The sequence below is a fragment of the Homo sapiens genome, chromosome 4 (assembly GCF_000001405.40).
Source record: "Homo sapiens chromosome 4, GRCh38.p14 Primary Assembly".
NCBI lineage: Eukaryota > Metazoa > Chordata > Mammalia > Primates > Hominidae > Homo > Homo sapiens.
Window position 1 is genome coordinate 31,233,346 of NC_000004.12, and position 14,346 is coordinate 31,247,691.

The window sequence follows — 14,346 nt, forward strand, 5'->3', positions numbered from 1 at the left end:
GTAGTGACGCGGTTTTGCTATGTTGGCCAGGCTGGTCTTGAACTCCTGACCTTACGGGATCTGCTTGCCTTGGCCTCCCAAAATGCTGGGATTATAGGCATGAGCCATCGTGCCCAGCCCTACTAACTTTAAGCTCTTTTGAGGAGACAATTACATAATTTATGACTCATTAAAATAGTTAAGAGCTTTACAGATGTTTTAAAATTTGAATGCTCAAGAAAAAATACACAGTTGTCCATTGAACAACACAGGGGTAAGGAGCACTGATCCCCTGCACAGTCGAAAATCCACATATAACTTTTGACTCCCCCAAATCTTAACCACTAATAGTCTACTGCTGACTGAAAGCCTTACTGATAATAGAAACAGTTGATTGACACATATTTTGCATGTTATATATATTGTGTACTGTATTCATACAGTAAAGCTACAGAAAAGAAAATGATTAAAAATCATAAGGGGAGAAAATATATTTACTATTCATTAAATGGAAATGGATTATCTTAAATGTATTCATCCTCATCATTTTCATGTTGAGTAGGCTGAGTAGGAAGAGGAAGAGGAAGGATTTGGTTTTGCTGTCTCAGGGTGGCAGAGATGGAAGAAAATTCACATATTAAGTGGACTCACACCAGTGAAACCTGTGTTGTTCAAGGGTAAAGTGTATTTTACTGTTCAACTCAGTGTATTTCTCCTCCCCCTTATATAACTAAAACAATATTACCAAAAAATAATACTATCCTTACTTTGTGTAGCATCCTTACTCTCATATTTTCACTCTATTTTACTATATTTTCATTTTTGAAATATGTTCTTCATATGAACAACTTGGTCAGTTTCATTACCCAGCAATGGTCTGTGAACAGCATTTTTGAAAAGAGGGCAATAGATTGTGAGCCAAATGCAGGGGCTATGTCTACCTACGTTTAACAACTCAACACTGACTGGCACGCACTAAGTTTGATGAGTAAATTAATGACTGTATCTTTCACAATTAAAACAATCCCTATATAGGATTTTATACCCATGTTGCAGAATTTAGTTTAGCTAAGATCTGGCTTTTTGTCATAGGACCAAGAAAATTTAGGCATCTGGACGCATTGGAGGGTGAGTAGAGCAAGATGTTATTGGGCGAAAAGGCAAAAAAAAAAAAAAAAAACCTCAGCAAAGCAAGATGGAGTTCTGCTAAGAAGCCCCCCATCTCACAGATTGATTCACAGATCACCACAGGAGCTGAAGAGAGCAGGCCCCTCCCCTGCATAAGCCGCAAATTCCCCATGGCTCCACCCACTTTCCCCAGTGAGCATTTCAGGCTCCAGTCCTCTGTGGGCATGCCCAGACAAGCCCTGGGCAGGTTCCCTCATCTGCACAAAAATATGTGATGTAAACACTTGTTGGGTGCGTGCAAGATTCTCTGGGGATCCCCTTTTACCTGTTTCAGTATTTGGCTGTTGAATAAATAGATAGGCAAGACCTTTCAGACTTTGAAGGAGGCCTGGGATACTTCTGTATTTGCCATTTGCTAATATAATATAAATAAATACATGTGTAACAAAGTTATAATATTTTAGCTTATTGAAATGTTCATATTAACCATTAAATTAGAAATGAAATTATGCAATTGACAGAGAATCTGCAAGATCATTGATTCAAGTACAAGCAATATAGTCCATTATTGAGAAACAATATGAGTTTAATGAATACCTTCTCTTATCTTGGCAAGGTATGCCTGTATCAACACATCACATGTACCCCACAGATATATACAACTATTATGTACCATAATAATCTAAAGTTAAAGTTTAAACAAAGGCCAGGCACAGTGACTCATGCCTGTAATTCCAGCACTTTGGGAGGTCGAGGTGGGCAGATCACCTGAGGTCAGGAGTACCAGACTAGCCTGGTCACCATGGTGAAACCCCATCTCTACTAAAAATATACAAAAATTAGCTGGACATGGTGGCATGCACCTGTAATCCCAGCTACTCAGAAGGCTGAGGCAGGAGAATTGCTTGAACCTGGGAAGCGGAGGTTATAGTGAGCCGAGACTGTGCTATTGCTCTCCAGCCTGGGCGACAGAGTGAGATTCCATCTAAAAAAAAAAAAAAAAAAATCTTGACAATGTTTCTCTGCTCCTATGTAACTTTTTGATGAAAATTTCTAAGTTCAAGTATGAGATCTTTCAAGCACATTAGAAACCTTTCTTAAGGTTTTTTTCTTCCTGGGCATAATTTGATGCTTTTACTTCTACGTTTAAAAAGAAAATCTTCTGATTAAGGAAGAGTTCTCAAAAATGCGTCTGTTTAAATGTAAACACCTAAACAAATTGAAAGTATTATTTTAATAAATAGTGAAAAGTAACACAAGCAAATTGAGCTAATTAAAGAAAGTGGAAAGGAAAATAAATTATCTTTTGTTCAGAAAGACAGTTCTAGCTAGGACACAATGGCCCATGAGGTATTATGAGAAAGCCAGAGAATATAAAGGACATGAGGGAGTCACTTACCTTTGGAAAAATAAAATAATCTTTAGAACTAAATATTTCTCCTTTTTTGCTATAGAAATATATTTATTTTATATTTTAAAATTGTACAACTATTATGTATCCATAAAAATTAAAAATAAAAAAGGCCTGAATATTTCTGCAACCTCACCCTTTCCTTTAATTTTCCTTCCCAATGGCTTCAATTCATTAAATTGCTTTCCAACCAATCTCCCTGTCTACAGTCTAGCCCTTTCTACACCACTGCCAGAATGAGCTCTTACAAATTCAAATCTGATTATGCCATTCTCCAGCTCAGAAAGCTTTAATGACTCCCCAGAGCTCTGAGTGAAAAAAAATCAAAGCCATAGAATGGCACATAAGCTTTGCCACCTGTTTACCTCTCTACGCCTTCTCCCTCCACCTCATCACCAGCATTACGAGCATCAGCAACAAAACAAGGCTCTCTGTTCCCTGAATGTACTTTTTCTTTTGGATCTCTTTGCACATGATTTCTCCTCCCCCTGGCAAACTCTCCCTGCCTTTGAATACATTTTCAGTTCTTATTCACCCTTTAAAAGAATTTTCTTGCATCTCTATGACGACTTCTCTACCCTCTGCCCCAGGCCCCTGAAGCCACGAGGACTGTCTCAAACAGACCCAGGCTGATAGAATGGCAGCAAAAGCTGCACAGATACCACATGAAGGCAGCCCTTTATTTGACTTCCAATTTTGTTATGGTTATAACTGTTGAAACCTGATAACGCTACTTGGCTTCTCTCAATTTCAAATTCCTTGGCAAAATGGAGATATGCTGATGCAAAAATTTGAAGTTTGTGGGGATGACACACAATACAGACTAAAGTAGGGTCATTGTCATTTACAGAAATTTACATTTCCAATTGGGAGGGTATATTTCACCTTCAAGTCTTATTTTCCTTTGGAGAGGTAGTTTGTGTCATCTTTCATATCCGTAGTACCTCATACAACCCCAGGGAGTAGGGTCTATCATTATTTCCACTTATAGAAGAGGAAAGTGAGTCACAGAGATTATTAAATCGTTGCTCAAAATGACAAACCTTGCATGTGTGGGTGCTGGGCTTTGGCCCTAAGCAGTCTGGCTCCAGAGTTCGTATTCCTAATCAGTAGTCTACGCTGCTTATGCTGTTAGTCTATTATAAGACTCTGACAGTCCTAGACGGTATTTCCACTTTGTAAGATTCAGCTTCTTGACTGGTCAAACAGGAGAAATAAAAATTTGTGAGGTAGTGGAGAACATCAAAGCAGACAATGAATGGTGAGCACATTAGTGCTTAGCACGTGGTAGTGAGTTGATGCTAAACTTATGTTGGTTCCCTGATATTTAAATGCCTCTTTCTAATCAACAATAGATAATGTGAAATACATGTACACATTGTTTCAAACTAATTCAGATTCTTCAAAACACATGTGGATAGCATAAAGGGAGGGACCTTTCACATTTCCAGATTTACTTATAATCATGATCCCTTGCCCCACTTGCCAGACACTGTAACCACTTCTAACAATGGTGACTCATGATTTTCCAGAATATTCCATGTAACATCATGCCAATATCTTCATTCTGTGTATTATCTCTGTTTTGAATTCTCTTTGATCTCTTCAATGACTTACAAATTACTCATCCTCTAAGGTGTGGAATTCTTCCAACCTTCCTGGGTAGAATCAAATGTTCTCTGTTCTACTCCCAATAATTTTTACTCTCTCAGAGCACACATTACCTTTGCTTACAGTGCCTTATTTGTATTTTTGTTTTTCTTACTGGATAAGTGATCTTTGAGCATTGGCTATGTTTTGTAATTTTATGAATCCCATAGATGATCTAACACAGTACCTGGCACATGACAATTACTTAGTGAGTGACAATTTGGGGTTTGCACCTGGTTTGTTCACAGCCACTATGGGTATAGACTAAGGGGAATAATTTCATAAACAGACTTATCTTCTGTATAGTTTAATTTTGTTGTATAACTAAAATGTCTAGATTTATTATGATTATGTCCTTTTAAAAAATGTGTAACAACTCTGGACAGGGTGACTCTTACCTGTAATCCCAACACTTTGGGAGGCTGAAAAGAGAATGTTGCTTGATGCCAAGAGTTCAAGACCAGCTTGGGCAACATAGCAAGACTTCCTTCTCTAACAAGAACAACAGAACAACAACAAAAATAGTGACGTGTGGGTACATGGCTGTAGTAGTCCCAGCTGCTTGGGATCACTTGAGCCCAAGAGTTTGAGGTTACAGCAAGCTGAGATAATGTCACTGTACTCCATTTTGAATGACATAATGAGGACTTGTCTCTTTAAAAAAAAATGTGTAACAGTTCTTCTCAGAAATGCGAATGATTGCATATAAAGAACAGTAATTAAAATGGTACTATTTTATAAATTTACTCTTTGTATTATTTCTAGAGCACTCTAACATTAAGACATATTTGTAGATTCTGGATAATTCCAGAGTGGACTTAGTTGAGTAAGAATGAATGACAAATGCTGGCTTTGACAAATATTGGTTCTCAGAATGAGAACTCATCTCCGAACATGTGTTTTACTTATAATCTTATATTGTTTCTAGGACATCATTTGTTTCTTGAAATTATCAAATATTTCTTTAAAACCAAACATAAACCTCAAAGGGACTCTCTTTCATCTCAATCGGCATTCAGAAAACTTTTATATTTGGTAAAAACATCGTATTAAAATGGGAGAGTTCCCTGACCTTTTGCAGGATGTGCAACAGGGATAAGCTCATCTGTTGGGCTGCCACATGCTCAAATCCCTTACAGGAGGGGCAACACACAGATGGGCAGGTGCAGGAGCCAGAGGAACCAGGGAGAGTGCTTTGGGGCTCCACCTCCATGCTAGCATTTAGGGGTGGGTGCTTGCAACTCCCAAAGCCCTAGAGGGTGTGTCACAGTGCTCTTTTAGCTCTGATGTTCACAGACAGCTTAAGTGTTAACCAGCTCAGTGCCCTCTTGGGACCTGCGTTCTCATCTGGCATCCAGGAAGGATTGTAAATTAGGGGGATTTTACTGCCAGATGGAGGTGGCTCTCAACAGGATGGATGGGAAGCTGGAAAGGGGATGGAGTGGGAAGGTGATCTTTCCTTGGAGTTTGGCTGTCCTGCGGCTGATCCCCTCTCCTATGATCCCCAGACGAACTCCACCTGATGTTCAGATGTTCTTTCTCTTCTCACCTCTCTGCCGTGCCACTCCTCTGTTCCTCTGCCTTTCCATTCTTCTGTTCATCTGTTTGTAGATCCTGGGGTTTGGGGTTTATATGAGTACAGGATGGAGGGGTGTAGTGGGCCAAAAGGCAAATTTGGGTGCAAAAACAGGAATGCTTGTTCCCATTTAAGGCTGTGAATTTCCAGGCTTGAGGGTGAGGCCTTTGCTGGGGAGCCACCCTCTTCTACCCGGTATTTCCCTGCCTCCATTAATATTATTTGTTTGTCAAAATAGAGTGATTTCTCAATAAACTATTATATCACACACCGATAAATGAATTAGAAAGAAAAGTTGCTTAAAAGGATAGACATTATCTGACTTGATTTTTATAAAATAATAAAAGGAAATTCACATTAAAAATGACATTTAAGAGTCATGTCTAAAAGTTTTTTTAAAGCATTTTTATTTGAGAATGAGAAGTTGTGACATTAAGAGAATGTATTACAATATTGTTTACCATGGTACAGCAATTCTGCAGTCTGTTTAAAGCTTCAGCTTTTTGAAAGGAGGTCCAGTTGCTGCACTGTAATAATGGTTTGCCTTTATTTATGCACCTACCCATTGTTTTTGAAGTCAGGTAATAGCAGCAAATCAAATGGCATATTCTCATTCCGTGTCACACATCTTACCCCTTAAGCATTAGGATAAACAGATGTGGCTTCGCCAAAGCTGTTGTCAGCAATACACTACTTCCAGTGACAATAAATTTTTCCACTAATGATATTAGGTAGTAGAATTGGTGTTTTGCACTGTCTTTTCCCACTACTCTATTTTAAGGCAATGCCTTTGTAAACAAACACTTATATAATGCAAGGTATTACATGGTGTGAAATAGGCTTGATCCATTAGTATGTTGTGAAGTTGGGGCTTAGGAAAATAAAAGAATATAATGTGATCAGTACAGCAAGGGAAAGGAACATTCTGTGCAACATAAACAACCTGACAAAAGGCAGGATGGCTTAGTTTTATTTATAAAAGCCTTTACATGCTCCCACATTTATTAAAACATGACCCTCTTGAACTCAGTCTGAGCAATATTAAAATGCTGACACAGAAACAATAAGGAAGAGTCTGCCAAAACATTTTGCTATCTGTGGTGATGTTTTTCATTTATTTTACCCTAGATAAAAAAGAATAAGGGAATTAGGGAACTCACTGCTTGTAATTTTAATAGCAAATAAACACCTACCTAATAATACCTCTGAGAAACTTGTTGGAAATTTATTTTTTATAAGCTCTCATGCCATGAGGGAGAAAGAGTTGGTTTTTTTTGAGAAACAGAATTTAAACCACTTTATATCTATTCTATGTAATAAAACAAGTGGAAAATGCTGTTTCTTGAGATTTGTTCTCATATAAAAATAGGAAAAACATGTACAGGAATTTTGACTTACTACAAGCCACTTCTATAGGCTTTTTAGAGGAAGCATTTAAGATTGTTTTTATAATGTTTCCTCCTCTTCCTCTTTCTTATTTTCCTTTCTCTTCTTTTTTCAAAAGAAGTTTATATTTTCAAAAGATTCGAGAAAGTATATTTGAGGACTTTAAAAAAGTCCAAATTAAATGTAAAATATCCGGTGTGTACTTTTATAAATGTTTAATGCAAATATAAATGTAAAGTTTTTAAAAGGCATTGACAGTGCTCTGATATGGAACTGTCTTTCATTTCTGTTCCTTAGGTTAACAGCCTTCCCTGCTTTTGACTTTCAGCTAGATTATTCAAAGGCTTGGGGACATGATCCTGTACTCACAGGACACCATACTTATTCCTATCAGAGCACCCAACAAATTGGAACTGTTGTTTTTCTATTGGTGTTTTCCTCTCAGTGACAATAAACTTGTCTGGCTTATTGATATATTTCTAACATACAGTATAGCGTCTGCTATGGACTAAGTGCATACATGATGTTGAGTTGAATTGAATCTCATTGAGTAAAAATGTCATTTGGGCTGAAAATGTCTTTGTTTCTATGTGCTTTTCAGCGTATGTATATCTGGGATATTTGTAAATAATTGTGCAAAACTAATATAAATGAAATTACAGACAATTCTTTTTTTTCTTTCTATGCAAGCACATAAGATTTTATTCTAAGTTTGCAGGTCATAAAGAGATGATCAAAGCATGTTTTCTGCCCTTAAAGGAGCTATAATCTGAAGGTATAGGCAGACAAATAGCTAAAATACATGACTTATAAAATAATTATCCAGAGAAGCTGTAATGACATGATAATTAATGCAGGTGGCAGCGGGATTCGAAATAAAAGGATTTGTGTAACAGATACTATGGAAGTGGAATATATTGTATTTGCCACTTAGATCATTAACAAAAAGAGATATCAGAAGGATTAATTGGTCTTGGTAGAAATATGCCTTTGCTCTTAGAGCTGTTGATTTCAAAGTGCCAAGAAAGCATTTGAATAAAAATGAATGTCAAGCTGTTGGAACTGTGCTTAGGAACTGGAATATTAAGGTTTAGATATTGTAGTAGGCTGTATCATGGCCACCCAAGGATGTCCACATCCTAATCCTCAAATCTGTGAATATGATTCTTTATTTGATGGAAAAAGGGACTTTGCAGAGGTGATTAAATTAAGGATCGTGAGATGGGCAGATTACCCTGCATTATCTGAGTGGGCATAATTTAATCACAAAAATTCATATGTGATAGGGGCAGGAAGTAAAAAGTCATTGAGAAAATGCACTGGGGACAGAGGTCAAATGGGAGAGAAAATGCTACTTTGCTGACTTTGAAATTGGAGGAGGGGTCATGGGCCAAGTTCTCCTCTAGAAGCTGAAAAATGCAAGAAAATTGCATCACCCTCCAGTCTCTGGAGGGAACAGGCCACTGCTGACACCTTGATTTTGGCCCAGTGAAACCTATTTCAGATTTCTGACCTCCAGACCTATATGACAATAAATCTTTGTTTCTTTAAGCTACTACATTTCTGGTAATTTGTCACAGCAGCAATAGAAAACAAATGCAGATTTTGGTACCTGAAAGTGGGGTGCTGCTGTAATAAACACCTAAATATGTGAAAATGACTTTGGAACTGGGCCATAAACAGTGGCTGCAGTAATTTCAAGGAGTGTAATAGAAAAACCTGGATTTCCTCTGACAGACTGTTACTCAAAATGTCAATGTTGAAGACTCTGCCTGTGAGGGGTCAGAAAGAGATGAGGATGCTAGAGAAAATCTGTATCATCTTACATGATACATCATAAGCAGACTACTGGTAGAAATATGGAAGTTAGAAAGCACTGCTTATGGCCAGGCGTGGTGGCTCGTGCCTGTAATCCCAGCACTTTGGGAGGCCAAGGCAGGCGGATCACTTGAGGTCGGGAGTTCGAGACCAGCCTGATCAACATGTAGAAACCCCGTCTCTACTAAAAATACAAAATTAGCCAGACATGGTGGTGCATGCCTGTAATCCCAGCTACTCGGGAGACCGAGGCAGGAGAACCACTTGAACCCGGGAGGCGGAGTTTGTGGTGAATGCCATTGTACTCCAGCCTGGGCAACAAGAGCGAAACTCCATCTAAAACAAAACAAAAAAAAAAGCACTGCTGATTAGGGCTAAGAAGGAAATTAGAAACTAGCTATAGAAAATTAATACAGTTATACAGGTAGTTTTAATTATGCCCAGAGTCGATAGTCTTGGCATAAACTAAATCGCCATGGAAAGCAATGCAGATGGACAACTTCTGAGAGCTGAGGACCAAACTATTAGGAATATTTTCATTTGGGATGATGAGGAACTTAGCAGAGGTGGAGAAGAAATAGAGAGGGAGTTGTCACGTTATGTGGGATCAAAGGATTAAGCAGTTTAAAGGGGAAAAGGATTTCAGCAGCATCAAATACTACAAAGAGTTTGAAGAATGAAAAATGATATTGAATTCCATAATCAGGAGGCCATTATCTTTCTCAGAGAGCAATCTCTCTCTGATAATGTGTGCTGAAAACATTGCAAAGTTTTAGAAATGAAAAAAAAGTGAGGCAATGAGGGCAGGTTATTCAAATAAAATATTTGGTGATAGAAGGAAAATAGTATCATAGCTTAAGGAAGAGATATTTGTAAGGAATGCCAAAAAATAACATTTCCTTTAGGGTATGGGAACTCAACATGCCATGGAAGATGGGGAACTGGTCAATAAAAGGAACTGAGGCATCTATTATAAGAGAAAAATGTTGTGATCAAAGAAAATGTTTGACAAGAAATAAAATTTGATATTCAGATATGTTAGCAGATTAAACACAAAGAGGAGACACAGCAAGAAGACTTGGAGTTGGAGAGAAAGGCCAACACTTTCATATAGTTCTGTTAGGAACTGATATTGTATAATAAAATAATAACTTTAGGAATAGGCATCAAGGCTTGAGGTGAGGATGGAGAAAGTTTGGGAAAGGCTTTTTTGGGAGGATCATGAGAGACAGATAGTAGGAAGTTGAAAGGCAACACAAAGGAAACAACCAAGGTTAGATAGCAAGCAACTACTTGCAATTAATGAAAGTAGAATTTCTGCAAACTTCTAGCAATACTATGTAGCTTGGGAGAGACCAACGAAGACAGAAAATGCAGTTTTCTCAGAACTGTCGAATAGCAAAAAGTTTGAGATTCTAAGTTGTAGTGAATGCATTTTTAAAAGACTACTCAATTTAGTCCAAAATTGTGGTATGGAAGCATGCTGACTTCACCACTTTCCTCAAAAACAAACAAACAAACAAACAAAAACAGGCCCAGTACTGTGGCTCACGCCTGTAATCTCAGCACTTTGGGAGGCCAAGGTTAGTGGATCACCTGAGGTCAGGAGTTTGAGACCAGCCTGGGCAACGTGGTGAAGCCCTGTCTCTACTAAAAATACAAAAATTTGCTGGGTGTGGTGGTACGTGCCTGTATTCCCAGCTACTTGGGAGGCTGAGGCAAAATCACTTGAATCCTGGAAGTGGAGGTTGCAGTGAGCCAAGATTGGGCCATTGCACTCCAGCCTGGGTGACAAGAGTGAAACTCTGTCTCAAAACAAGCAAACAAAAAACTAAAAAACAAAAACAAACATACAGTGCTAAGATCATCAACAGAAATATCCTAGAGCTCCAGGAGGCTGAGGCAGGAAAGTTGCTTGAGCCCACGAGGTGGAGGTTCAGTGAGCCGGGATCGTGCCACTGCACTCCACAGTCCAGCCTGGGCGACAGCGTGAGACTTCATCTCAAAAAAGAAAAAGAAAATAAATACCCTAGAAGTTAAATATGAAGATGAGACATTTTCCGGAACTTCAGAGAAGTGAAAAAAGCCCTGAGCCAATGGTAAATTAATTGGACTTCCGCATCCATAAACCCCCTCCTCTCATTCTGCCCAGCATCAAACACAGAGAAGGTTTTTTCCAACTCATTTTGTCTACAATGGAAAAAGTGAAATTGTGGTGGACAACAAGCTTCTTCATTATCCTGGGTTCCTTGGCAGGAGGTTTGTCCCTACCTTAACTTACAGGAAGATTGTGAGTGCCTGAAGGAACAAATGTAGACAAAGGGGGAGGTGGGATTACCATCCTCACTCCTGGCAACTCTGCTCTGTAACACTGCCAGAGGATCCGCCAAATCAAAGTTGTTATTCAGCAGCACCACACTGTAGGAGGCATAATCCACTGCATGAACCTAGGCATGAACCACTGTCCTGTCTTCCCACATTGCCAGGGTCTTACCTTTGGGATCTTCCTGATTCAGGAAGGGTGATACTCCAATTGTTTATGAGAGCTGAGGTGAACCTGGGCTTAAGGAGCCATCAAGACCCAAAAAGTAGGCAGCAACCTTGTGGTAAAGAACCTCTAAGTAAACATACTGAGAGAAAATCAAAACAAATCAGAGAAGACTGAAATAAATAACTAATCCCTCAATGCAAAGACATAGACATAGATCCATAAGAAACAACAGCAAACAGGGAACCGTGATCTCTCTAAACAGACAAAGCAAGGAATCAGTAACTGACCCTCATGAGAGAGTGATAGGTGAGCTCTCTGACCAAGAATTCTAAATAGCAATTTTAAGAAAACTCAGTGATCTCCAAGATAACATAGAAAATCAATTTAGAAATTTATCAGATAAATTTAACAAAGACATTTAAATAATAAAAAAAAACAGAAATTGCTGAACTGAAAAATTCGTTACAGACCATCAACAGCAGAATATATCAACAAGAGGAAGGAATCAGTGTGCTTGAATATAGGATATTTAAAAATACATAGTCAAAGGAGAAAAAAGAAGAAAGAATGAAAAACAGAAAAACAACAAAGATCAGCTACCAGATATAGAAAATTAGCTCAAGAGACAAAATTTATTGATAATCAAGTGGGAATTGAGGAAGAGCAAGAAACATAAACCATATATAAAGAAATGATAACAGAAAAGTCTCCAAAACATGATACAGATATAGCTATCCAGGTACAGGAGGGTCAGAGAATACCAGATTGAGCCCAAGTAAGACCTCCTGAAGGCATATAATAATCAGACTCTCAAAGGTCAAGCACAGAGAGCAAATCCTAAAAGCAGCAAGGAAAATGAAGCAAATAACATAAAAAGGAGCTCCAATTTGTCTAGCAACAGATTTCTCAATATAAACCATACAGGCCAGGAGGGAGAGGAAAAATATTTTCAAAGTGTTCAAAGAAAAAGAAAACTGCCACCACGAATATCGTATCCAGCAAAATTATCCTTCAAGGATGAAGGAAAGATGACCTTTCCCAGACAAACAACACCTGAGAGAATTCACTACCATCAGACCTGTCTTGCAAGAAATGCTAAAGAGAGTTCTTCAATCTCAATGAAAGAAAAAAAAAAAAACTAATGTGAAAATAAAGAGCTTTTGAAGGTGCAAAACCTGCTGATAATATTAAGTACATAAATCGACTCATAATAATACTATAATAATAGTTTGCAATCCACTTATAAGTCTAGTATAAAGCTCAAAAGACAAATCTATCAAAAACAATAATAGCTACAGAAAATCTTAAGAGATAGGTAATATAAAATATGTAAATTGAGACAACACAAAGTCAAAATGTGGGGGAATGCAGTTAAAGTGTATAATTTTTTATTTTTTTCATTCTTTTATTTGTGATAAAGATAAGTTGTCGTTTCTATAAAAAATAATTTGTTATGTTTGTTAGCCTCATGGTAACCACAACACAAAACCTATGCAATTCACCAAAATAAAAGGCAAGAAATTAAAACATGCTGCCAAAGAAAAATAACCACAAAGAAAGACAGTAAGAAAGAACAAATGGAAGAGGGGAGTTAAAACAACTGGAAATGCCAACCTAAATGGCAGTAGTGAGATCTTACATATTAATAATAACAGTGAATGTAAATGGACTCAGTCCTCCAATTAAAAGGTAAAATGTGACTAATTGGATAAAGAAACAAGACCTAACTATATTCTTTCTATAAGAAACAGATGTCATATATAAAGATACACATAGACTGAAGGTAAAGGGATGAATAAAGATATTCTACGACACTGGAAACTGAAAAAAAAAAGCAGGAGTAGCTGCACTCATATCAGATAAAAGAGACTACAAATTAGAGACTGGGAAAGGATACAAAGAAGGTCACTATATAATGATGAAAATATGTAACAATTATAAATATCTGTGCACCCAACACCAGAGCCCTCAAGTATGTAAAGAAACTATTAATAGATCTATAGGGAGAGATAGACTGCAACACAATAATACTAAGGGACTGTAATATCTCACTTTCAGTAATGAACATATCATCCAGACAAAAGGAGCAACAGAGAAACATCAGAGTTAAACTACAAACTGGACTTAATTGGCCTCATGGACATTTATAGAATTCCTGCAGAATACACATTCTTTTTATCAGCACATGGAACATTCTCCAGAATAGACCATATCCTAGGCCACAAGACAAGTCTCAGCAAATTCCAAAAAGCAGAAATCATATCAAGCATCTTTTCTGACCACAATAGATTAAAACTAGAAAGCAATCACAGGAACCTTGGAAACTTCACAAACACATGGATTGTAAGCAACATGCTCCTGAATGACTGATGAGTCAATGAAGAAATTATAAAGGAGATTAAAAAATTTTGTGCTACAAATGAAAACGGAAATACAACATACCAAAATCTATGGGATACAGCAAAAGCTATAGTAGGAGGGAAAGTTCTCAAAATAAACACTTGTATCAGAAAAGTAAAAAGACTTTAAATAAACAGCATGAAAATGCACCACAAGGAATTAGAATAGCAAGAACAAATCAAACTCAAAATTAGTAGAAGAAAAGAAATAATAAAAATCAGAGCAGAAATAAGTGAAATTGATACTAAAAACAATATAGAAGATCAACAAAATGAAAAGATGTCTTTTTTTGAAAAGGAAAATAAAATCAACAAACTTTTGGCTAGACTGATTAAAAATAAAAGGAGAGAAGACCCAAATAAATAATCTCAGAAGTGACAAAGGAGACATAACAACTGAGCCAACAGAGATACAAAGAATAATTTAAAACTATTATCAATAACTATACTCCACCAAAACGGAAAATCTAGAGGAAATGGATGAATTCCTGGACACATGCACATAATA

The 14,346-nt window shown here is 37.4% G+C and overlaps 3 annotated features.

Moving 5' to 3' along the window:
• Positions 659 to 1,858: an enhancer, noted in NCBI's record as "MED14-independent group 3 enhancer chr4:31235626-31236825 (GRCh37/hg19 assembly coordinates)". NCBI's record gives its function as "activates an origin of replication core promoter dependent on BRD2, BRD4, P300/CBP and CDK7 cofactors, and independent of MED14, by STARR-seq in HCT116 cells {active_cell/tissue: HCT116}" and the evidence as "EXISTENCE:reporter gene assay evidence [ECO:0000049][PMID:35650434]".
• Positions 1,267 to 1,446: an enhancer, noted in NCBI's record as "active region_21405". NCBI's record gives its function as "activates an Ori minimal core promoter by ATAC-STARR-seq in GM12878 lymphoblastoid cells {active_cell/tissue: GM12878}" and the evidence as "EXISTENCE:reporter gene assay evidence [ECO:0000049][PMID:35858748]".
• Positions 3,215 to 4,414: an enhancer, noted in NCBI's record as "CDK7 strongly-dependent group 2 enhancer chr4:31238182-31239381 (GRCh37/hg19 assembly coordinates)". NCBI's record gives its function as "activates an origin of replication core promoter dependent on BRD2, BRD4, P300/CBP, MED14 and CDK7 cofactors, with strong dependence on CDK7, by STARR-seq in HCT116 cells {active_cell/tissue: HCT116}" and the evidence as "EXISTENCE:reporter gene assay evidence [ECO:0000049][PMID:35650434]".